General features: G+C 45.9%; 1 protein-coding gene across 2 annotated transcripts in view, besides 2 other annotated features; it reads right to left on the reverse strand.

The window, feature by feature from the left end:
- Positions 1–25519, reverse strand: part of ASIC2 (acid sensing ion channel subunit 2) — a 1143682-nt gene that overhangs the window by 226573 nt on the left and 891590 nt on the right. The gene's annotated exons all lie outside the window — the stretch shown is intronic.
- Positions 21792–22293: an enhancer, noted in NCBI's record as "H3K4me1 hESC enhancer chr17:31588469-31588970 (GRCh37/hg19 assembly coordinates)". NCBI's record gives its function as "activates a minimal SCP1, AML or CMV promoter by ChIP-STARR-seq in primed H9 embryonic stem cells {active_cell/tissue: H9 hESC(primed)}" and the evidence as "EXISTENCE:reporter gene assay evidence [ECO:0000049][PMID:30033119]".
- Positions 22294–22793: an enhancer, noted in NCBI's record as "H3K4me1 hESC enhancer chr17:31588971-31589470 (GRCh37/hg19 assembly coordinates)". NCBI's record gives its function as "activates a minimal SCP1, AML or CMV promoter by ChIP-STARR-seq in primed H9 embryonic stem cells {active_cell/tissue: H9 hESC(primed)}" and the evidence as "EXISTENCE:reporter gene assay evidence [ECO:0000049][PMID:30033119]".

The following is a 25519-nucleotide window of genomic DNA, read 5'->3' on the forward strand; positions in this document are numbered from 1 at the left end:
TTAGCCTTCCCACCCTGCCCCCCACACAAAAGTGATTACAAATTTAGAAGAAGGTTTGCTGAGATCTGGGGAGAGCCATAGAGACATTTGCAAACCATCCCAAATTCAAATATTGGGTGGTATTCAGTGTCTACTTACAGTCAGCACTGTGCTTGCTCCCTCCATAAGTTTTCTTCTTTCTAGACTCCAGGCCTTTGCACATGCTGTTCTTAAATGTTCCTTCCTCCAGGAAGCCTGCCCTGACTTCCCAAGACTAGGTTAGGCCTCCCTTATCCTTACTTCCCCCCACGCTGCTGCAGCACAGCATTGTTCTGTATCTGCCAGTTGACTTGCCTGTCAATCCTACTAGACTGTAGGATAAAAGTGAAATCTAAATCTGGCACATAGTAGGTACACAGTAAAGGTTTGTTGGATGAGTCTTCAACCCAGGAGCCAAAAACCTTCCCAAATGGACACAGCCTAAGATAGTTGATCTGGATGCTTTGGGCTTATGAGTGCTGGTCCCATCCCTGCCCTGACCTGAGTCTACAGAGTGAGGGATGCTCCCAAGTTGTTTTGGTGGAGCACAGATGGCTATCACAAAACACTGCCTCCCCTACTTCATTCCCAAGATGGAGGTCCCAGGCCAGAGCAGCTTCACACATCAGACCTGTGTGAACCTACAGGTTTTTTTTTGGATCTCAGCTCATTCCAGAGGAGTTCTTTCAAGCCTGAAATTGCTAATGCTCCTCCTTCCAGACCCTCCAGCCAGTGGCTGCCTTTTGTTGAGGTTGGATAGAGAAAAGCTTCTCTAAGAAAGCGGCCTGCCAGAGAGATGGGAGATGCTTGGATGCTAGGCAACTGGTCAGAAAGCAAATATTGGCCTCATCTCCAGGGACCCTGCCAGGCACTGTGCAGCTCAGACGTGGAGTTCTTTGTCTGGATGAGAGTTTGCCATTTAATTAGATTCCCCACCTGATCTGCCTGTGGGGCCATAACAGGCAACGAGAGGCTGTCAGCATCCCTACCCCAGGCAGCCAGGAGCGGGAAGGAGCTGTAGCATTGGAAGGTAGGGTGGGTCTCCCATCTCCCAATCCTGCGGGGTCCGTGCCCTGCTGGTTCTTGCTCCACTCCCTCTGGGTGTCTTCCTCCATAAATCAAGATGCTCTTAGGGACCTATTCCCTGTCCTCTCCATAGCCAGCCCTTCCAAGCAAAGCAAAGCAAACAAACAAACAAAAAAACACCTCAAAGGCAGGATCGTGGCATGCCAATATCTGGTGTTTTTAGCTCTTCAGAGAATTTTACCGTTTATGGAGTGCCTATTACATACTACAAATGAGGCATTGGCATGTACATTATCTCACTTATCACCCAGACCTACCCTGTAACATAAAAATCATAGATCACCTTTCATAGATCAGGACACTGAAGCCCAGGCAGCATGAAAGCAGCGTTCATGGTCACACAGCTAGTCAGGGGCAGAACTGTATTAAACCCATGTCTCCTTCATTCCAGTTTCTTCAGAATCAAACCACATTGTTTCTCTTAAATGCCACCCTGTTTTATGAATGGGTTAACTGAGTATTGGGTACTTTATTAAGACTTACAGGATATTGGTTCTTGAACAGAGGTAGATCCAGGAAAACACAAGCAAACCAATAAGTAAGCTGACTCTAGAGAAGGAGATGCTACCTCTATTCCTTTGCTATTTCATTCACGTGGTGGGAGTTCCATTCATGCAATATTCAGCTTTTCTCCTCAACCCCCTTCCTTCTCTGCTCTCACCACATGGGGAGGGCTGTTCCAGCCCTGTGCTGCCTATGATTGCAGGGGGAGTCCACAGAATTCTGGCATTCACTATTAGGTTAGGAAGATCATTTCCTCATAGATACAAACCATGCCTCATAGAGACCTTATTAGTCATAAAGATAACATTTTGGCCTATATCCCATTTTATCTTTTCTTGTTTTTCAAATGGTTCCAAACCTGGGCAGGAAAGAGGACTGTATTTATGGGACATTCTTGAAGACTGTAACAATCCTGTGGCCTAATTCCACTGGATTCTACCCAGGACACATGCTCTATGAGCCCACCATGCACACAGATTGTGCCTCTGCCAGTGGAGATATCTAAGGAATGCATGGCCCCTGTCCTCCTGGGCTTCACAACCAAGCTGGGGAGACACAGCCAAGCCACAAGATGCACCTGGCAATTCTAAGGCAGCGTACTGGAACACCTTCATGATGCCAGCAGGCAATCGTGGAGGGATCCACTTAAATCAATATTCTAGTTGAGATTTGCTATATATAAATGGAAAACCCAATCTCAAAACACTGGAGTACAGTAATAAGTATTCTCCACTTTAACTCCGAACCTACACAAAATAGGATTTATTCTGGCCAGGTGCAGTGGCTCACGCCTGTAATCCCAGCACTTTGGGAGGCCGAGGCAGGCAGATCACGAGGTCGGGAGATCGAGACCATCCTGGCTAACACGGTGAAACCCCGTCTCTACTAAAAATACAAAAATTAGCCAGGCATGGTGGTGGGCGCCTGTAGTCCCAGCTACTCGGGAGGCTGAGGCAGGAGAATGGCATGAACCTGGGAGGCGGAGCTTGCAGTGAGCCGAGATCTCGCCACTGCACTTCAGCCTGGGGACAGAGCGAGACTCCGTCAAAAAAAAAAAAAAAAAGATTTATTCTCTCTTCAATGAATCAGAAAGTCTTCCATGATCTTTCAGAAATTTAGGAAAATCACAACTGCCTGTGTTTTATAGCCCAGCACTATGACCAGTTCTTTCCTAGTTAATCTTCAATGCAACCCTGGATAGAGGATATTATTATCCCCATTTCACAGATAAAGAAAATGAGGCTCCAAGGACTTAAACAACTTCTCAGGATGACTTAAATAGGATTTAAACCCAGTCTGTGTGGTTCCACAGCCAAGTACATCCTAGCACTCCTCGCTGCCTCTCGATAAACATAAGAGCCTTAAGCCCTTGACATTCATGAGAGTAATCCCGAGACGTCCGGGAGTTTTCAATTTACAAATTCCACTTTAGTGTATAATCGCCTCCATAAAACACCTATTTTTCTTGCTGAGGCCCATACCTTCTCAGTCCTCCTTACACTTCACCTATTTCTGTTTCCATCAATGGTGGTTAAGGTTCTTTCCAGGGCACTTTGCTTATTTTGTGGGGGTTGTTGTGCAGGGAAGGTGGGCAGGGAGTAAGAGATCTGGATCGAGAGGTGATTGCTGGACTGCCTGCTTGGTTTACCTGCAAGCCACACCCTCACTCCTGCACACCAGCCCAGCTCACTGGAGCACCTGGCAGAAATCAGAAGCACATGCCATTTCTGTTGCCGTGGCCAGATGGACATGATCCACTGATGAAAACCCACATGTGTGTGCACACATCTTCCACACTCACACACCCCTGCATTTGAGGCAGAGATACCATGCAGGGCTCTTCCCAGGAAACCAGCAGCTGATGACAGAGTTTCTTAGAGGATGAAGTTGTACATTGATGGACACAATGTTTTCTTAATAACTATGCATTTCATAATGATTATTAGAATAAGTGTAACTAGTACATCAAACCCAGATTTCACAGATAATATGACTGATCTTCCATCAATAGCAATGACATGCAGTTTTCTCTGAAAATAGATTGAAGTAAACAAAATGAGTCAGCTCAAAGGAAAATATTTAGTAAATCGTAGGACTGCAGTACTTGGCAATGGCAAAAACCCTGAGGTGGTCTGTGGGTGAATGAAGTTGGGGGCACCATGGCTGCCAGGGTATGATGGGTAGGAGATGGGGAAATGTGGGTAGAGAGGAAACCTGAGGCCGGTTCCCAGGGGAACTTGGAGCTTCAAAGAAGGGAAATCTTGTGTTCTGGCTGGTAGACAGAAGGAAAAAAAATCCAAGCCTGTTTCGCCATCAGTAATTGTGTGTGGAATAGACTGTGTGTGATGTTGAGGGAATTCAACATACAGGAACGATCCCTCCGGGAAGATTTAAACACATCTTCTTTGAAGACGTGAATATAAAAACAGGACCCATTCTTGCTATGATCAAATACTCTTCTAGGGCTTTTTTTCACTTAAAAATACTTTTTAGTATGAAAAATTTCAAACAAGTACAAGTAGAGAGAATTGCATGAAGAATTCCATATACCCATTTCCAGCTTTTCCCTGATCATTTTTAATCCTCTGAAAGAAGGACAATCTAACCGGGAGTTGGGAAAAGCAAGTGCTAGTTTGGCTTTGCCACAAATTGGCTGTGTGACCTTGGGCAAGTCACTTGACCTCTCTGGGCCTCTGTTTTCCCTTTTTCAATCCTGGGATGAATTCAATCTCCCAGAAACCCCTTGTCCCCCAGCCCGCTTCTATATGCTCATGAGATAGCAACAAATGCACATCGCTAGGCTAACTGTGGTGCTGAGGGAATTAAACTGATAAGGTTTTCTATTCTTTCATTCTTTGCATAACCTTTCCTATGGAGACAGCCTAAGGAAGTGTAGGGACATGCTAAGTGATCCTGTTAGATTAGATGAGGTCAAATACTTCAAGATATGTCCCCATCTGAAACACTTTGCATTGGCAGTATTTGGAGACAACTGTGTATTTGCCTGCTATTTACATTGGAAAGGCAGGTTAGGTGATCATCCATTGACTGGAGAAAACCATGTAGACAACCGGACTGGAAAATGAGGCCTCTAGGAAGTGCGTGAAATCCTGATTTACATCATTTGGTGATCTTTTTGGTCGAATTAATCAGATCACTGTTTACGTGAGCCAACACATAAAATGCTTAGCAAAGTGCCTAGAATAATATGCATTAGATATAACTTTCATGATTTCTATTTTCCATGCAGATGTTTGACTAAAATGTTTACGCAGACACAAAGCTCACACACAATCAGCTTTGGTAACAAAGGCAGGATAATCTACTTTACCACGAGAATCTATGCTCCCACTCAGCAGCTGTCATTCCCTAAGAGTGGCTTGTCCTGGCCACACCTTGCCCCACCACGAGACCCTTGGCTCTTAGAGGATCCTTGCATATAGGGTCTTGTGCTTTCAACACACAGCCTTCAGCATTGAGGACAAGGCGTGGTCTGACCACTAACCCTGCCTTTTTCACTCGTTCAGCATCTCTGCTCAGGCGAGAATGCAGAGGAATGAAACTCCCCACGCACCTGTTAAAACAAGGTGGCACATGTTGGGAGTAAGAGGAACAGGATAGGGAGTGAGTAGCTCTGAGTTCTGCTCTTGGGTCTGCCACTGTGTGATCTTGGGTAAGACCCTCCTCTCAGCACTCTTGGTCTCATCCACATAACAAAAGCGTTAAACTGGGTCACGTGGGGGTGTTTTTAGCATTAACATAGTCTATTCTGTAATAACGATCACATAATAATTATACTAATATAGATCATAACATCATCATTATAACTGTATGACAACCATCACATGCATTATAAAGACTCCCTAGTGGCCATGGCTCCTGGGACTGCTCATCATAGTTCTAGTTACTCCTTAAACACATTTTCACAGGGACATGGCTGCTGTCTTTGAGAAACTCATAATGGAATGGAAGAGATGAGGAAAAGATCAATTAAAGTGCAGTAGGAGCTATTACGGAAATAGGAACAGGTGCTTGGGGAGTCCAGAGGAGGCTGCTAGGATCCTAAAGGGGCTGGAATTTCAGCTCATCTTTGGGTTAAACATCTGCTCTCCCATCTTGAGTCAATATGGAATTTTCATTCATTCAACAGCTGTTTGCTGAGCATCCACTGAGCCCCGGGCACTGTGCTGGCTGTCTATGAGGGCTGAGCACACAAAGTCCATGGCCTGTTGGAATTACTGACTATGAAGAGGCAGACAATGCACAAATAAACTAAAATGTGGGTTGCAAATTCTGTACAGAGCTATGAAGGAAGCTCAGGAATGATGTTCAGGAATGACAGGAACTGATATGCCTTAGAGATCTGGGGGTCCTCCTTGAGGCAGTGGCTGCTGAGCTGGGGTCCTCTATGTGAGGAGCTGGAAGAGCATCAGAGGGTAACATGAAAAAAGGGGCAAAGAGCCTGGTGGGCTCCTCAAGAAACTGGGAGGAGGTCAAGTGCCAGGAGCACTGAGAGTGAGAGATGAGGCCATAGGCTAAGGCAGATGCCAGAGTGTGCAGGCCCCATAAGGGGTTTGGGAGGAAGCACTAATGGAGGAAGGCAGAGAGTGAACTGATTTACCAATTTTAAAAGCACTCTGGGCCAGGCACAATAGTTCATGTCTGTAATCCCAGCACTTTGGGAGGCCAAGACAGGAGAATTGCTTGAGGCCAGGAGTTCAACTGTCTGGGCAACATAGTGAGACCCTCCCTACCTCTACTTAAAAAAAAAAAAAAGTCACTGTGGATTCCTGGTAGAAGATGAAACACAGGAAACCCTGTGAATTTAGAAATGCTGGTTTGGAGGTGTACCATCCAGGCAAGAAGTCAAGTAGCAGTCATGATGGAGCTAGGTCTGTGGGTTCAGAATAGATATTGATGGTGGAGTTGGCCTAATTGGCTGGGGGATAAGATGTGGTGGTGGGGGGAAGGGAGAGGGAGAAATAAAGAGCGACTCCCAGGTTCCTGGCTCAAGGTATGGGGCAGATGGAGTTGCTGTTTGCAGAGAGGGCGCAGGCAGGGAGAGAAACAGAACACTTCTGGGATGACAGGCTTCCCTAAGGATGAAACGCCATGTGTAAAGAGCGCCTAACACACTGTGCTCTCCATAAATGCTGACCCCTTCATCCCCTTCTTGTATTTAAAACGAACTTCAGTGCAGTAGGGCAACTTTAATAAAGCCCAGGTAGGCCTGGCAGCCAGATCAGTAGAAAGAATGGGGTCGGGGAACTTCTGGGCAAATAGGCGCTGTGCCAGAGAGCCTTGCAAGGGCGCGGCGGGGTTCACCCCTGCTCAGGAGGAAATAAGGAATCCCTCCTGAGCTAAGTGCAAGTGAATTCAGCCAGCAAGGCTGATAAAAACAATTGCCTAAATGAGCAAGTGCATAGTGCCTTACTGTTTACAAAGCACTTTTGACATACGTTATCCCATTTGATTCCTATAGTCACATAGAAGCAGAGCCATAATCCCAATTTCAGGGAGAGGGAAGCTCAGGCTTAGAGTGCATTAGGGACTTGCTCAAGCTCACACAGTGAGTCGGTGGTTGCCCCCAGCCTTTCTGATTCTCATTGAGGGTTCCCCAGCACAGCCAGTTTGTCCATCAGCCACCACTGACAAAGGCCCTAGGACCTAGGAGGTTTTTAAGAGCCAACAACAAGAAGAAAATTGGATTTGAAAAAAGATGTAGTTAGCTCCAAAATACAAAAAGAAAAGGGCAGGAATGAAATGAATAAATGTTTATCTACATTTCCACCACATGTCAACTTCTTGCCATAGCACCTTCATTCATTGTTCGATAGAGCGTTTATTAAGGTTTCATTACATTTGAAAATAATGTGTGAGCCACATTCTCCTCACTTTGCAAGAATTCCAGAGTACATGGGGTGGGTGTTCAGAAATCATAGCCAGTGGTGAGTTAGGTGGTGAGCCAATTTCTAGTCAAATAACCGCAAAGGCAGGATTTTAAAATCCTTTCAAAGTATTTTACAACAAAAAATTATATATTTCGTGAAATAAGTTCTTTTTAGTGTGTTTGATACAAAGTGAGGTGTGGTTTCAAATACAAATGTTGAGGGCCTGAGAGATCTTAGGTGTCCATCTGGCAGCTCTTCAGCTCTCCTTCGGATCTCTTTTCTAAGTTTATTTGGTTTTCATGAAACTTTGTGAATCCAAAAAGAAAAAAAAAGAAAACCACCTAAAATCGTCTCTAGTTTTGAACCTACCAGTATTTTTGGAGGAAGCGTTTCCAGGGAACAGAGACAATGGACAAAGAGAACAAGGTAGCTTTCAGAAAATCAAGGTAGAGAGAGTCTACCCGTGTCTACTCTCAGCCAGGAGGCCAGTAGAGAACTGACCCAGCAGAAGGAGCTTCCTGGAGCAGGAGTCAGTTGGCTAAGCCAAGAGTAGGTTCCTCAGTGGTTGTGTAAGGACAGGAGGGCGAGTCTTCCCTAAGAACAAAGGCGGGTAAGTTTTGGTTTTATAGCTCATGCATGCACTCATTTTTCTGAGCATCTCCTCTGTGCCAGGTGCTGCTTTAGGTACTTGGAATAAATCAGTGGGCACAAGAGACAGAGGTCTTTGTGTCTCAGGGAGCTTAGACTCTGAAGTATATGTGTATGTACGGGACAGCCAGAAAACAATGAACATAATAAAACAGAATATATTTGATATATATTCGAACACAATATAGCATGTTCGAAGGTGATAGAAGACTATGAAATAGCAGAGGTAGATGAGTAGAATGGGGATGCCAGGGGAAGAGGGGGTGTGGTTTGCAGCTGAAACTGGGTTGGTCATGCTTGGTCTCACTGAGAAGGTGAGATTGGACTTGACTCTCAACTTTCAAGACTGCAAAGTGGTGAAGGAGAGAACCTTGTGGCTATCTCACGAAAGAACATTCCAGGCAGAGGGACCAGCAAATGCAAAGGCCCTGAGGTAGGTGTACGCCTGGCCTGTTCAAGGAACAGTGAGAAGGCCAGTGTAGGTGGAGTGGCTGAGTACGTGATAGTGAAATAGATCAGGGTAGTAATGTGGGCAAGAGCATTTAGCCACTGAGATGCCTGCAGCTTTTCGTTGAATGAGAGAGGCAGCCACTGGGTGTTTTTGAACAAATGATTAATGTGATCTTATGGATGTTTAAAATAATGCAGTAAGACTAGACTGTAGGGGAGTGCATTAGTTTCCTGTGGCTGCTGTAACAAATTACTATAAACTGGATGGCTGAAAACAACAGGAATTTATTCTCTCAAAGTTCTAGAGGCCACAGATCCAGAATTTGTTTCACTGAGCTGGAACCATTGTGTCAGCAGGTCCACACACCCTCTGGAGGCTCCAAAGGAGAATCTGTTCCTTGCCTCTTCCAGCCTCCGGTGGCTCCAGCATTCTTGGCTTGAGGCCACATCACTCTCATCAATCTCTATCTCCGTGGTCACATTCTCCTCCTCTCTGTATGTGTCAGTTCCCCCTCTGCTGCTGATAGAAACATTCATGGTGATATTTAGGGCCTACCTGGATAATCCTACATGGTTTGTCCATCTCAAGTTCCTTGACTTAATCATTCCTGCAAAGAGTCTTTTTTTCCAAGCAAGGCAACATTTACAGCTTCCTGGGGTTGGTACTTGGTATTTTTGGGGTCCATGACCCAGCCTCCTACAGGAGAAAGGGTAGATGTAGAAAGTCCTGCTAGGGGGCTTCTGGAGTCATCCAGGTAATGCATAGTGATGGTTTAGATGGGATGGGAACAGTGCAGGCTGTGAGACATGGCTGGTTTCTCAACATATTTGAAAGGTAAGGCCAATAGGATTTTCTGACAGACTGGAGGTGGGGTGAGAGAGAAAGAGAAGGGTGAAGACTGGCCACAAGATTTTTCACTTGAACAACTGGAAGGATGAAGGTGTCCTCACCGAGATACAGAAGACTGTGGGTGGAATAGGTTTCGGGAGTAAGAACAGGAGCTCAGTTTTAGAAATGGGGGCGTGGTGAGATGTCTAAACATCCACATGGAGATGTTGAGTAGGTAGCTGGGGAGAAGAGCCCAGGGTTTGGGAGGAAAGGCTGGGCTGGAGATTTTAATAGTGGAGCATAGGCATGGAGACAGTACTTACAGCCATGGGACTGGAGGAGATGAGCAAGGGAGCGAGGGTAGAGAAAGAAGGGAACTGAGGACTGAGTCCTGAGGTCCTCCGACACTAGGAGGTTGGGGAGAAGAGGAGTCTCCGCAGGAGTGAGCCCTGAGACAAAAGAAGGACCAGGACAGGGTCCTGTCTAGGAATCCAAGTGAATAAACACGTCAGTGGTGGGAGGTATAACATGGCCTTCACGCCAAGACCGAAATCTCAGCCAGGGCTGCAGCCCTGCCTTCTAACTATCCTTCCCTCTGGGCACATGTGGCAGGTGTCTGCTCACTCTGGAGGCCTCTTGGAGCTCCCAGGCCCCAAAGCATAACTTTTTGCAGCGGTTGCATAAACCTTAGTTCCACCAAAGGCAGGGCGGGTGGGGAAACCATTCACTCTGTAGGTTGGGGAAGCTGCTGAACACCTCTCAGGATTCATGTGCCATAGGCTTGGGACTTACTGGCCTGTTAGCTAGGGAGTTGGGATCATGGTGGGAGGAGAAGGTGGTCCCTGAAAAGTGAGTGGGGCCAATCCCAAAGGTATGGGGTCTGACTTCACAGGCCAGGAGATCAGGAAACAAAGAGGGCATTGGGAATCAGGGATTCTTGGGGCCAGACACTTCTAGGGAGTAATCCTGCTTCTGACAGTTCTATCTGTGTCGATCTTAGGCAAACTGATTCTCTCTAAGCCTCAGTTTCCTTATTTGTAAAATGGGGCTATAAATACTTGCTTCCTAGGAAAGTAATACTATACTGTGTTTAAGCTACCAGGCACATCATAGGTGCTCAAGAATTTTGGTCATTTTCCTTGTGTTGATTTGAAACTATTTGAGTTAGTCCTGACATAACACTCACCCAAAGGGAGATGTCCCTTTTTCGAGGAGCTGGGGTGTGGGTGGCCAGCCCGTGGCCCTGGAGGCCACAGCCGGGAGCCTGCTCCTAGTGTGGGGCCATAGCCCAGCCCAGCACTTCGCTACCATCTTGTAAATGTGTGCCCAGCAGGGCCAGGGAAGATCATGCCACCAGCTCCCAGAAAACATTACCTGTACACTCAAAAAATGTCCTCTGAGTAGAACAAGAAGAGGCCTTGGCTGCGAGTTCTGCCCCCAGTCCTGCCGCGCTTATCCCATGCGCCATGTTCTCGGGCAAGTCACTGCTCCCCTATAAGCTTTATTAATTCAATTTGTAAGATGAGTGGTTTGAACCACATTGGTCATTTCCATATTTTTGTTTTATAGGAAAACATTCTTATTAAACAGAAAAGCCTTGCATAGAACCCCAGTGTTTTAAACAAATGAAAGATGCCCTGGTTACAGTGCGGAGGGGAGTCCTGGGCACTGAGGCTTCCTTATCTCCCCCAAGGGAGCCCAGGGACCCTCTATGGAACCCTACAACTCTAAGGAACAGGCTTAGAAAAATTCTGACTAAAGGCAAAAATTGTGCCTCTGAGTTTAAAGCTATATGTAATCGGCATTAGATGGCTTGATGCTGATGAATATGTATTTCAAACAGTTATGTGCAAAAACATATTTATGTGTATACTTTATTTCCATTTTAAACCTGCAGATAGCAGGCCAAATTCTTAATGTTTTATGCCTACTTGTTACTTTCCTGATGTCAAATTCGCTGCATAGTTATATTCAAAGAAGGAATTGACTTAGTATTTGTAGTAAATTAAAACTGCTTTGACTATCAGAGAGAGACAGACAGATCCTGGGCTAAATATTTCTAAGTTCTCTCACAGCTCAGAAAAATCTCAAAATTATAACTTTTTCTTGCAGTTGATCTCTACAGTTTCATGAAGTGGGTTCTAGGTTACCACAAAATTAAGACACATGTTGTTGTTCAATAGGGCAGGAAAGAGTGAAAACCAGCTTTAGTTGAACACCTATTACGGATCAGCTACCATCTTATCTTATTTATTTATTTTTGAGACAGGGTCTTGTACTGTCACATAGGCTGGAGTGCAGTGGCACAATCATAGCTCACTGCAACCTCGAACCCCTAGGCTCAAGTTATCCTCCCACCTCAGCCTCCCAAGTAACTGAGACTACAGGTGTATGCCACCATGCTCGTCTAATTTTTTATTTTTGTGGAAACAGGGTCTTGCTATGTGGACTAGGCTGATCTTGAACTCCTGGCCTCAAGTCATCCTACCGCTGTGGGCTCCTAAAGTGCGGGGATTACAAGCATGAGCCACCACACTGGCCTCAGGTACCATCTTACAGTTTATTTTAGTTAACTTTTAGACCAATGTAATGAAGGTGCAAGTACCAATTTTTCCCACTTTGCATATGGGGAAACTGAGGCTCAGAGAGGTTAAAGTGGCCTACTCAATGTCATACAGCTAATAAGATGATAGTTTCAGGATTCAAACTCAGATCTGTATTCAAAGACTGTGCTCTTCCCACCCCAAGTTGTTTCTAAAGGCAAAAAATCCCTTTGATTTCAGGAGACAGTCCTTGAATTGTACTAAGAATGATCCCTTGTATTGATTGGTAAGTTCTTGGTTTAGCTCCAGCTTTCCCATCTACATTACTCATGCTGCTCTCCCATGAACCCTGTGAGGTAAGCAGGCCAGGTACTATCATGTCCGTTTTTCAGATAGGAGAATTGAGGTTTGGAGAGATGGAGTGACTTGCCTAAGGTTGTGCAGAGCATGAAGAACTGGGGTCTTGCTATTCCCTCCTGAATCTTCTCCCAATCAAGAGTGTGAGCCATATACCATAAGGCTATCTTGCTCAGATAGTTCATGTCCCACCCTCTTTAGGAGAACTCATTTCATTTTCAAACTGCACCGAGTTCTTTCATCATTGCAGCTTTTTCATTTATTAGGCGTTCAATTTCCCTTACATTCATCATTTATTTGCTGCTGCTTTTCATTTTTTAAGAGGTGAAGGAAATGCAAATTAGCAAATGAATGTCATGCATAATACAGCCGGCCCTGCTACAAACAGCTTTTGTTAGAGTCCGCTCTGTTCTAGGACAAATTGGTCTACAAGGACCCGATACACCTCTCTGGATGTGTTGACACAGACGCAGCCTGCCAGGAAAGGACAATGGCAAAAGCGTGCTTTTGTTTGGTCTGCCATTCCCGGGGTTAATATGTTGGGTAATATCTTCAGCATTGTTTCCCCGAGCCATAGGAAGGTGTGTGCCCAGCCCTGCGATGGGTGCACAGATGCTCCAGTGCTGTTCACGTAGTGCAACTTGGTGCAGCCCCCTCATTCTTGGCCTTAGTTCTTGAACTACCTGATCTCGTGTGTCCCTTGCACTTGACTCTATTTCTTGGCAATTCTTGCTGGAGTTCTGCCACTCACCCTTCTCTTACGCCTTTGCCCAGCATCTTTGGCTTATTATGTGTTCTCTTCCCCTCATCCAAGAACTTGGCTTTTCATTGGGCTATGGCCACATCTCTCCATTTTAACAACATACTCGCAGACTGCCTTGGCCTCTTAGATTTATGGAGTACTGTCCTATCCTCTATCCTATGCCTCTATCAGGTCTGATTTGTTCTTGTGGGTAGAACCCAGATCCACCTGGATTCCCAGGGATGAAATGTTTTAATACATGAGCTTAACATTTGTATGTTAAGCTCCAATCGAAATAACATTTGCCATTCATTGCATGCTGGACACCGTGTTAATGCCTTTGTTTGCTAGGTATCATCTCAGTCAGTACTCACATCCCTATAAGATAGTTATCACAGTAGTCCCACTTTGTAGATGAAGAAACAGAGAAGGTATACAACTTCCCAAGATCACACAGCTCGCAGGAGACAGAGCTGGAGTTCAAATGCAGGTCCACATAGTGTTTTCAGCTATGTGCAACACTGCCTTCCAGCCAGTATGAACAGCTTCAGGAGCTCAAGACCAAACAGATATATTACTGACTATGGTTTTGAGCTAGATTTTAGTCATGAGTGTACACAAACACAATCATGTGTGCATGCACGTATATGCACACCATGCCTCATTTGTCTCGCTGGGAGTTATAGGAGCTAGACCAGAGCTGAAAATGAAAAATTACTGCTAGGTCAGTATTATTAATGCTTCATGGAAAACATTCCACTTCCAAACAATTAGGTAGACAGATTTTCTTGCATTTCTTTTCTTTTTCCTACTTATTACTACAGATGTTTACAAGAAGAAACAAAGGTTTCTGCCTCTGCAGCATTGACTAGCATTTGCTGGCAGATAGGATCCTCTTTGGATGGCCCAGGCAGCCAGAGGCAGAAGGAGGATTTGCAGGTATGAGTGACCAACTAACTCCTGAGACTGGTTTTCACGAAAAGAAGAGGAAAGTGAGGATCTGATTTTAAAAAGAGGATTTTTAAAATAAAGGCCATATGCAAGGCTTTGAAGAGCCTTGGATTTTCCAAGTATAAAATGTGGAAGTGGCCTGATCTTGGTGGATGTTCCAGCCCCATGATGCCGAGACCATCAGACTGGGGATAATTAGGTGAGGAAGCACCCTCCAACCCACCCAGGCTCTCTACAATTAAACCATCTGTTGAGTTCTATAATTTTGTGGGTTCCCAGGATCTTGTTTCCTCTGAATATTTTTTGTTTTGTGAACTACAGGTCACAGGGGACAGCTGTAGAAGAGAGGAACCTATTTCTTGATGCAAGTTCTCCAAAACCATTTCCATCAATTGCTAATGGTTTCATTAACATGCACTCTGGGGCTTGGAGGTGAAGTCCACCAGCTAAGAACATCAGAACTGCTAAGGAGGCTCAGGCAACTATTCCAGAGGTGGCTCTGGGCTGCTGAGGAGAGCTGGGTGGATTTTTAGGATGTTAAACTCAAAAGGTCAGGGAACACTGGTCCAGGACTTTCTATCAAACCTATAATCCTCTCTCTACCTCCAGTTGTGCCTCCCCTGTCCCTGTCCTCATACTGTCACCAATGTGATCATCTTAAAATGTATATCTCGGACATGATCATACCATCTTGGCTTCCCTTCTTGGATGAAATACTTCAGTTGGGACAAAAGTGAAGTTCTTTAATCTGGCTGAAGCCTTTCCAATAACTATATACCTCTGCTACCCCAAACCAATAGGCTAGCACCGTCAAGCCTCATGCAGGCTTTGGATGCACCCAGCTTCCTCTTACCCCCAGGTTTTTGCCCATACAGTTTTTGCCCATAGCCTGGTAGACCTATTTCCCCTCTTCTCCATCTAGTTGACCTCTATTCATCCTTCAGAAGGTATCACCTCCTTCATGAAGTCTTCCCTGATTGTCTCTCCCACTTTGTAGGCATGTAAAACCTAACCTAACTTAAAATTTTTAAAATTACCTTCAAACTTCATATTTTAAAAGGATATTTGATCCACAGGAATAATGCTTACATTGTAATAGTAAGTCAAGAAAGCAGGATGGAAGAAAACATGCTAAATATCCTCATTTTTGTTAACTAATCCCCACACAGACACGTGCATGGGTGCACAGCAAACAGAGCCAAAGAAAATACACCAGCATGCTAATAGTGGTTACCACTGGTTGGGGAGTTCTATGGAATTTTTATTTTCTTCTTTTATGTTTACAAATTATGTACATTTTATATGATTATCTAATTAATAATTAGACAAAATGCTATTTAGAAAGAAATCTTTTTTTTTTTTTTTTTTTTTTTTTGGGACAGAGCCTCGCTCTGTTTGTTGCCCAGGCTGGAGTGCAGTGGCACGATCTCGGCTCACTGAAACCTCCACCTCTTGGATTCAAGCGATTCTCCTGCCTCAGCCTCCCGAGTAGCTGGGACTACAGGTATGCACCACCACACTTGGCTAATTTTTGTATTTTTAGTACTAGCAGGGTTTCACCATGTTGGCCAGGCTGGTCTCAAACCCCTGACCTCAAATGATCCACTCACCTCGGCCTCCCAAAGTGCTGGGATTATAGGTGTGAGCCACCATGCCTGGCCAGAAAGAAAGAGTTGTGCTAAATATTGTATGTGAATGTAAAGAAACTGGAAAAAAAGAGAGTGGTTAGATCTCTATCTGTTGACACGCGATAAGGTAAAAAGTGTAAGCTTTAGACTAATGCATATAGTTTCTGATTAAAAACACACAAACAGGTGACTATATGCTTACATATGTGTGCGTCAACAAGGAGTATGCTGTGGAAATGTTCGCATCAGGCTGGTAACACTGGTTACATCAAGAGGAGGGGGGATCGGAGGGACGGGGGGGTGGAGGAGTCAGATAATTTATTTTGCCTTTATTGATCTTTGTAGTGTTTTATTTCACTTCCCATTGTAAGCATGTGCCACTATGGTAAATTCTCAGAAATCAAATAGAAAACGAAAGGCTCTAAATAGCAGGATGGACTAAGGTGTTTATAATTAATAATATAAGATTTCAGGCATGTCAAAATGTTATCCTCAAACTTGATTTTCTGGATGCTTCACTAGAGTAACTTATTAACTCTTTTAATTTGGAAATTATCTTAAATTTAGGGAAAAGTTGCAAGAATGCTACAAATAATGGGACAAAGAACACCAATATACCCTCTACCTAAGTCACCTCTTATTAATATTTTCCTCCATTTGCTTTATTATTTGTTCTTCAGCACAGTAATGTTTAATTCACACTAGGAAAAAAAACGCATTACAGATTCATACATCACTATTTATACCAGACTAATTACCATGGATTTGAGTGGTCACTTAAAAAAATACTTGCTATTTCTTAAGCTACAGATATGCTGCATGTGTACAAAAAATCATATAGACAAGATCGTTCTTTGAAAACTGAATACCACCAAAGGGTCTGGCCACAGCGATTAGTAAAATACATGATAGTGAGCCTATATAAGGGCTTGTTACAGAGCAATGAAAAAAACAATATGGATTTGTGTGAGATGATAAGAAATAGGTTTGAGATACATTAAGTAAAAGATACAGAACAAAATGTGTAGAATATGAGCCCAGTGTGCAAAGAAAAAAAAGATATGCTAGAAAGAGACACAAGAAATGATTGGTTTACTTTTAGGAAGAGTGCTGGGGTCTTTTTATTATACTTCCTATTATATTTTTTTTACACTCTGCATTTTTTAAAACCATGTGCATGTATGACTTTCATGATAATAGAGAAATGAATTGGCATAAAAAATTTTACTGTAGGGCCAGGCACGGTGGCTCACACCTGTGATCCCAGCACTCACACCTGTTTTTCCAGCACTGAGGTGGTGTATCACCTGAGGTCAGGAGTTCAAGACCAGCCTGGCCAACATGGCAAAACCCCATCTCTACTAAAAATACAGAAATTAGCCAGGCGTGGTGGCACGTGCCTGTAATCCCAGCTACTAGGGAGGCTGAGGCAGGAGGATCACTTGAACCTGGGAGGCAGAGGTTGCAGTGAGCCAAGATTGTGCCACTGCACTCCAGCCTGGGCAACAGAGTGAGACTCCATCTCAAAAAAAAAATTACTGTAAGAGAAAAGCTGTTTACCAGTTCCTGTTGGTTTTGGAATATGGGAGGAGGCCATTTCCCCTCCCCACTGGGTTCGCTGGGAGGTGATAGTCAGACTTAAGCCTCCTGAGGAGTCATCTCCCTAGCAGCAGCTCTCCCTATTCCCTACAGCAGGTGCAGGTGCAGAGATGGTGGACTGCCAGGCCCCTGGGTCTAATGTATCCCACAAATGTGCTACCTCCCATCCCAGAGTGCTCTGAAATTTGTGTCAACATTGAAAAAAATGGAGTGATTTTACATAACAAATTCAGATTCCCAGCCTATCTGCAGAAATCTGGCAAAACCAGGGCTGCGTTTGTAAGCACAACCGTGGGCAGCAGCCAGGTATGGGCTGCCTTTAGCAAGTGAGGAGGCCTCACTGACCAGGTGCCCTCCTTTACAAAGCCCATTAGAAATTGACTCCCCTGCTCCGATGTCTCATGGGTGAGGCCCTGCCCCGCTGATGGAAGGGAGATTTGAACATCTCTCCATTGCTGTCTCTCAATCAAGCAATATTTTCTACTGGAGGCTGTCCAAGCATATTCTAAGAAATTCCACAGTGAGAGGAGGGTTGTTATTTCACACTTTTAGTATATAGGCGAAGTGGCTGTGGCTCAGAAAAGTGAGGTAACTTATCTAAGGTCACACAGCATGTTAGTTTCAGGGGCAGGACAAGAGCCCAGAGTGGCAAACTCCCACCCCTGTGCACGTTCTTCTGCCTTATGTGGCCTTCCACAGGCTAGCTCCCAGATTGGATGATGGCTGAGAGTTGAGGGCTGGGCTCTCCATGCACACAACCTAGCCCTTCCTTCTCAGGTACCATCTCCTGAGCAAGGCAGGTGTGTGGTATCAAGGTCCTGTGACATTCAGAGAACACAGGTACAACAGCAATGACAACCACATCTTCCTTCACAGCACTCATGTCCCAAGAGGCAGGATAGGCTAGAGGCTGAGAGTGTAGCTTAGAACTGTGGCTTTAGTACTTCCTAGCTGGGTAACCTTAGGTAAGTTATTTGTCTCTCTGTTCTTATGTTTCCTTGCTTGCTAGGTGGAGATTACATTATAATATTAGCTTCTACCTGATAGGATTGTTTTCAGCATTAACTACATTAGTGTGTGCAAGGTGCTTAAATCATGCCTGGCACGTTGTAAGTGCTTGATAAACAAGTTATATGATTTTTTATGTGACAGGAACCATGCTGAGTATTTTGCATGCTTTATCTTAGTCTTCCCAACTGTAATCAGGTAGGTGTCATTCACGTGCATTCATTAATTCATGGGATTCACAGCATTCATTACGTGAATTCATTAATCTACTCGTTCACAGCATCATTAATTCAACGGATCTTTAGGAGTATCTAGTTACACTGGGTGCTGCCCTTGACGTTGGGGATATGGGGTCAAGAATGCAGAAAGCTTACATTTCTGCCTTTATGAAGCTTACATTCTACTGAGGGCTGGGTGGACACAGACATTAATCCATCAGTTAATCAAGAGTCAGGAGTGATCCATGCTGTGGAGCAAAATAACACAGGGTAAGGGACAGAGAAGGAGGATGGGTAGGGAGTTGAGTGAGTAATTTGGTGCCATGAGGTAAGGGAAGGCTGCTCCCAGGAAGTGCACTGGAGCAGAGATCTAAATGAAGTGAGGGAGCGAGGAGGCAGATGAACACAGGAGGAGTATTCCTGGCAGAAGGAAGGAAAAGTACAGCGGCCCTGAGGTGGTAGTAGAGGTGAGTTTGTTGCCTAGAATGTTTGTGGAACACAGAGGAGGTCTTAGTGGCTGCAACCATGAGCAAGAGGGAGTAGAGCCCAGACGTGGGTCAGGGAGGAAGCCAGAAGTCAAGACATATACAATGTTCTCTGATTTGTAGAAGAAGAAACTAAAGCTCAGTGAAGTTAAATAACTTCCCAGAAGTGGCCCAGCTGGTAAGTGGTAGAACAAGGGATTTGAACCCAAGACCATCTGGCTTCAAGGCATATGCTCCTAACCACTAGGATACATTGCTATGAACATGCACAGTGGAGGCCGGGACATGCACATATAGCTATCCCAGGTGGTCCTGCTCCAAACTGTCTGCTGGGAAATTAGACAAAGAGTAAGGAGTAAGGCATAGTGAGAGAGCGAGGGTGTGTGTGGGGTGAGGAGTGGGGAAGAGCAGAAAGGAAGGGGTTCCTTTTGTCCTGGCATACTCATATTTGCCTTAGCAGGTTGAGGCAGCCATTCCGGGTAATGGTGAGGGCTCAGGGTTGATATGAAAAGTGGCATTTGTCTAAAACTTGTCAGTTCTTGGGGCATCTCGGAACGGACAGTTTTGAAACACCAAAGGCACTTTAAAAAATAAAAATAGCACATTTCTAAATGCAACATCCTCTTTGGTAATGATATAATGATATATTAGGCCTCCATCGCTGGTGGCATTATCTTGTACAGCAATATATTGCACTGTTACAATTCACGCCATCAGTCTGCAAAACCAGGGTCATAAAACCCTGTAATTTATAACAGAATCTTGTAAACCTATGTATTATACATGTGTAGATATCATTGCCTGGCATTCCACATGCAGTAACTACTTGGTTCAGAAGTCAGGGCCAAAGCACCTCCCACCGCCCATTCCTCAAATGTAGGGCTCACCAGACAAGGTGTGCATATCATTGCCAGGCCCCCTTTACTGAGCAGTAAATTAAGCAACAGGCTGTGTCTTGGTGGTAGAGGAAAACAAAGATACCAAAACAGCAAGATGTGATGCAAAGAGGAGAGAGTGACAGCCTGAAGACTTGGTCATTTATTTTATGATGCTCCTTGTTCGTATGATCACACGATCCCTAGTAGGTGTCATGCACCCAGCTGGGAATAGGGATGGAAGTAAGACGCAATCCTCCTTCTGGTCTCATGTTTCTTAAACCTTAGTGTGTATTCACATCACCTGGGAATACTGTTGGCTCACAGATGCTGGGCTCTAACCCGAGAATGCTCTGGTTTGTGGGTCTGGAGCCTGAGACTTTGCATGTCTAATGAGTTCCCAGGGGATGCTGATGCTGCTGGTCCTGGGGCCCCGCTTTGAGTCATTCTGCTCCAAGTGACTTTGGGACGCTCTATATTAAAGATGCTGAGGGATATTGGCTGAGTGCGGTGGTGCACGCTGGCAGTCCCAGCTACTTGGGAAGCTGAGGTAGGAGGATTGCTTGAGCCCAGGGAGTTCAAAGCTGCAGTGAGCTATGATCATACCACCGCACTCCAGCCTGGGCAGCAAAGTGAGACCCTGCCTCTAAAAAAGAAAAATGCAGAGGGAGAAATGAGCTGCCCCAGTGAACACAGGCAGGGGCAGATCTGTGGATAAAGCCTGGCCTCCTGGCCCCTGAATCCAGGACTCTTCCACTGGGCCACACTGCCCATTTCCTGGCTTTGTCTCCAAATGCTCTCCAACCACAAAAGTAGCAACAGGGAGAGGGGTGCCAGAAAGATGGCAACCAGACGCATGCAGCTCACAGCAGAATCTGCGGGCACATTAACTCTGCAGGGGCCAGTTGGAGCACTCAGCAGAGGCCACTCTGAGCTTCCTAGGGCTCCCCCAAAGGTCAGACAGAATCATCTAATAGCTTCTTGAAGGGAAAATGATGGTCTGGTGGTTTTTTTCCCTGCTGAACCTCATCACCTCCAACGGCCACACTATGGATCGCTGCCGCCAGGGGGGCGGGGAATACGAGGTCTTTGCTGTATTGCAAGGCAGAACGCTTTTTCTCGAGAGGTCTTAATGACTTATGGGATGAAAGGTGGCAAGTGGGGATGCCATGCCCGGCTGAACCCTGCAGGCCAGAGATGCCGTGATAGTCACCTCTCTCCAACCCAGTGCTGGGGCCCCATGCCTGCTTCCTTGGGACAGCCCCCGTCCCTTCCCAGGGGTGACCTTCTCACCACCACCCCTTGCTGACTGGCTCCTCACACCGTGCAGGTGCAGCCCCAGTGCGTCTGCATGTAAATGAGCTTGGGCCGACCAAACGCTGGCCTCCTGCTGCCACGTAGCATGATTGCAGACATTTTATTGCCAGGTGATTGCTCTTCGATAGGAACCACCTCTTCAGAACCCTTTTAAGCCTCTCCAACAAACATTCTGATTTCATTCCTTATTGCCCTAATCCAGCTGCAGACCCTTGCGCTCCTGATTTGACTGCAGACTTAGAAATAAATATCCCAGTGTGCCTGTCCTAACCAAAGGACTATTGATAGCAAGTAGCAAATCCATTTGCCACCCAAATAGTATCCTGGTTTGCCATCAGTAATTTCAGAAATGTGATTCCCAGCATTATGCCCTCTCCAAACTAGCTTTTTGCCTCTTATTTCCTAGCTTAGTTATCAGAATTTCCACCTACGCTCTTGAGCAAGATGGGACACTCACAATAAACACTGTCTCCCATCTTCCCCTCATCACCCACTCACAACATCATTAATTCTAATCCTCCTGTTGTTTGTGGATTAGAAAACAGCTGTTTTCTGAGCTGCTATGTGTCCCTGGTGCTAGGTGCTGGGTCCTTGTCCTCATGGAGCTTCCAGGGAAATAGGGGAAACTGCAAGGAAGCACGGAACTATGCTTTGTCATGGGCCTCTGGTGACCTGGAGAAAGTCAATTAACTTTTGATGAGTGACATGTCTGGTTTCTATCCCCAAGGAGTTCATGTGAGAAGGGGAGACAGTCACACAACCAGTTCTTTGCAGTAATCATAACAGCTGAGAGGCACACAACACTGATGGTGTCTAAGAGCTGTATATATGCCAGCTTATTTAGGACTCATAACTGTCCTTGGAGGCAAATACTATGATTATATGAGCCACACAACAGAGGAGGAAACTGAGGCACAGATAAGTGACTTGCAAGCAGTCAGCTGGGATTTGAACTCAGAAAGTCTGCTCCAGAATCCATGCTTTCAACCCTGGAATCCTAGTCACGACGAGGTGAACGTGGGGGGTGCTGGCTGCCTTCACTCCAGAGGCGTCTCCTATCCCAGAGGAGGCCAGCTGGCCTGCCTGGTCCCTCTTGGCCTCCATCTGGGTGCCGTGGCCTCTTGCTGTCACTGAAGTGTGTGACTACCAGGGCCAGAAGATGCTTCTGTAGGGCTTGGGGCCCGCTCCAGGGCAGCATCTGGAGACAGGAGTAATGAAGGGTAGCTGGCGCACGACCGGGTTGTCAGGCTGGGGACTGAAGGGTGCTTCCTTTGAACAGTCTGTGCTCGGCGCCATGTAGGCTCCACTGAGCCATGAAAATGTCTGGCCCTCCCAGTGCTGCTTCAAAAGACTGCCCGGATGACCACCTGTCCCTGGAAACAGGCTTACCAAAACTCACCTGCTTGCTTCAAAATTCACCACCCCTCCATACCCCCAAGGATCTCTTTCCCTTTCTTTCTCTAATTTTCCTATGCACAGGAGGGAGAGAAAATAGGGAAGGGAATGGGGAGAGGGAGAAAGGGAGGGAGGGGGAGAAAAGGAGGAAGAGGGAGGGAGGGAGAGAGGGAGGGAAGAAGAAAGGAAGAAAGGAGGGAGGAAGAGAAGGAGGGAAGGAGAGGAGGAAGGGAGGGAGGAAGGGAAGGAGGGAGGCAAGGTATGGAAGGGAGGGAAAAGGAAGGGAAGGATGAATATATAGTCTGTAATTGCTCAAATGCCTATAGTATGTTTCTCTCAGACTGTTATTCCAAGCCCACTGTATTCTGGGCCCCAAGCACTTTCCAAACTTACCTATCAAAATATCCCAAAGGGTCATTCACACATAATCTATGTGTCCAATAAGGGACAGATACTCTGCTAGACTGTGGTTAAACCTTGTTGAGTGTGACAGATGGTTCTTATCCTCTTAGGGCTGATCATCATTAAACTAATAAATAACGCAAATAAACATGTAATCACACATTGTGCTGAGTGCTATAAGGGAAAAGAATAAAGTACTATGAGAGGGAAAAGGAGGGTCAGAATGGGGTGAACATTCCCAAGCCACAAGAGAAAGCCTCGCCCATGTGTAGATGAGGAATGTTGAAGTGAGGGCTTAAGGCTGCCGTGGAATGAGGGGTAGACATGCCACGTCTCAGCCAGGCAGGTGGTGCCCAGGGCTAATGCAAAAAGATGCGAGAAGACTTGAAAGAAATTCATGGATGTTTGCTCCGTAAATGAGCTCTTTAGAGGAATGTAATGAATGCTGCTTCATTCATTAACTGGACTGTGAGCTCCCTGAGGGAAGGGCATCTGTTTGTTATCCATCTGGGCATTTTCCGGCCCTAGCTGAGAGCTTAGTATTAATTTATTTATATGTACACCGCCTGGTTGCATAAAGACAAGCCGGGGACCTCTACAGTGGCAGATGCTGGAGGAACTGTGTTTATGCTACATGATTCACCCGCTGTCTCTCTAAGCTGTGAGGACAATGCATCTCAGAAAGGACCACTATCTGCTCACTCTCACCATGGGCTGTGGCTCCTGGCTGTGAGTCCACGGGCCTATTGCAGGCTGCAATTGTGGGTTTTTTATGTTTTGATTAGTAAACCAAGCTTTTCTCCCTAGAAAATGTTGGGCATAAATTCTCAATGTGAAATTGACAAAAGCAGAGATGCTAGCTGGTGCTGAGCAGGGGAGGAGGCGCTGGAGCCCCATCCATATATAGCAGCTGCTCCTCCCACTAGGTGCTTCTGACAAACCCTGACTTTGACCTTCTCTGGAGATGGGGCCTCCCCTCTGCGGCCCCATGAAGACTGCTGTGCTTGCTCCTGCTCTGCCTGGGCTCTGGCCTTCAGTGAAGGCCATTTCAGAATGAAGAGTTGGTGTTCTGCAGCAGGAGGAAGTGTGCCTTCATTACCCAGCCTAGGCGTGTCTGGGCTGCACAGATCTGGGCATATGAAAGGGGGGCCCACCCGCTGCAGAGCTTGGTCTTTCCCCATTCTGCTTACAAGAAGAATTCCTAAAGCATGGTGCCCGGTTCCTCTCCATGCTCCCCTTCTGCGCGGGACAGAGGGTGGAGCCTCGTGAGTCTCACATGATACCGGCTAAGTATCAATAGGTCCCCAAGTCGCAGGGCTGGGAGCCTGGGAATAGATGAGTGGTGGTAAGTGGAGGGGAGGGCAAGAGCTTTGGGCTGGCATCTCAGTCTGCCTCCTGCCAGCTGTGTGACCTTGGACAAGTGACTGAATCAACCTGGGCCGGCCTTTCTGCATCTATAAAGCCCACCTCACAACGTTATCGTGATGGTTGAGTGACACAATGTGAGTGCAATCAATCTGCAGAGGCACAAGGTATATGCCAGGCAGCATGACATCTGCCAAACACTTTACAAGCCGTGATGTCACTACCACACACAGATGTAGAGAAGCGCCCAGGATGGTGCCTAGCACATTGTGGGCACTTCCATGGCAGCTCTTACAGGGCCTAGAGATGAATGCTATGGCCCCACTCAGAGCCATGAATCAAGCACTCACTATGTGCATGGCATGACTGCAAGTGCTTTGCATGGATTGCCTCAGTGAATCCTTACAATAATCTTGTGGAGCAAGTATGACTATTCTCATTTTACAGATGAGAAAACCAAGACACAGAGAGGTGAAGCAAATTGCCCAGAGTCACACAGCTAGTAAACAGTGGCACAGGGAATGAAATGCAAGCTGCCTAACTCCTTTCCTGTGATCAGAACCACTGCATCCCATACCAGGCCACGTGCATCTCTCACAATGTAAAGTAAGGGCGGCAGCTGAATTTCTCTCATCTCACTCCTGATGAAGAACTGTTTCCCAGAACAATGTCAGATCAAGAGCCAAGCGATCAGTGCTTTGGTCCCCCTGTTTCCACCTGAAAGCTCTGTGGGTTGGGCTAACTCAGTTCCCTTCTCTGGGCTTGGGTTTCCCCAACTCTAAGACTGTTGGCAGGGGTGAGGGTGCTGATAGCATGAAATCTGGTTCATCCTGGCTTTAGGGTGTGAGTCTAGGGTTCAAACAGTTACAGGGAAGGACAATAGTTGGGAAAAAGTATGAACTGAATCAGAACCACATGTGTTGGGGGAAAACAAATATTTCTGGCCCAGCTGGATGTAAACTCTGCCAGAGCCTAGCATCAGCCTAGCTAAGAACAGTTAAGGGGCTTTGCCCCTGATTATGTGGCTGTGGCCACCTTCACTGGAGGAGAATAAAGAAGGAGCTAAAGGTGAAGAACCATATGCTGTGTGGCCTTCACTGAGTTTCTTGGCCTCTCTGGGTCACATGACTCCAGTTCCAATACACTCCCTGTAATTCCCAGATGGGCCATTTTCTTACAGGGCTCCTTTGCCTAGGCTGTTTTCACTG

The sequence above is a fragment of the Homo sapiens genome, chromosome 17 (assembly GCF_000001405.40).
Source record: "Homo sapiens chromosome 17, GRCh38.p14 Primary Assembly".
Taxonomy (NCBI): domain Eukaryota; kingdom Metazoa; phylum Chordata; class Mammalia; order Primates; family Hominidae; genus Homo; species Homo sapiens.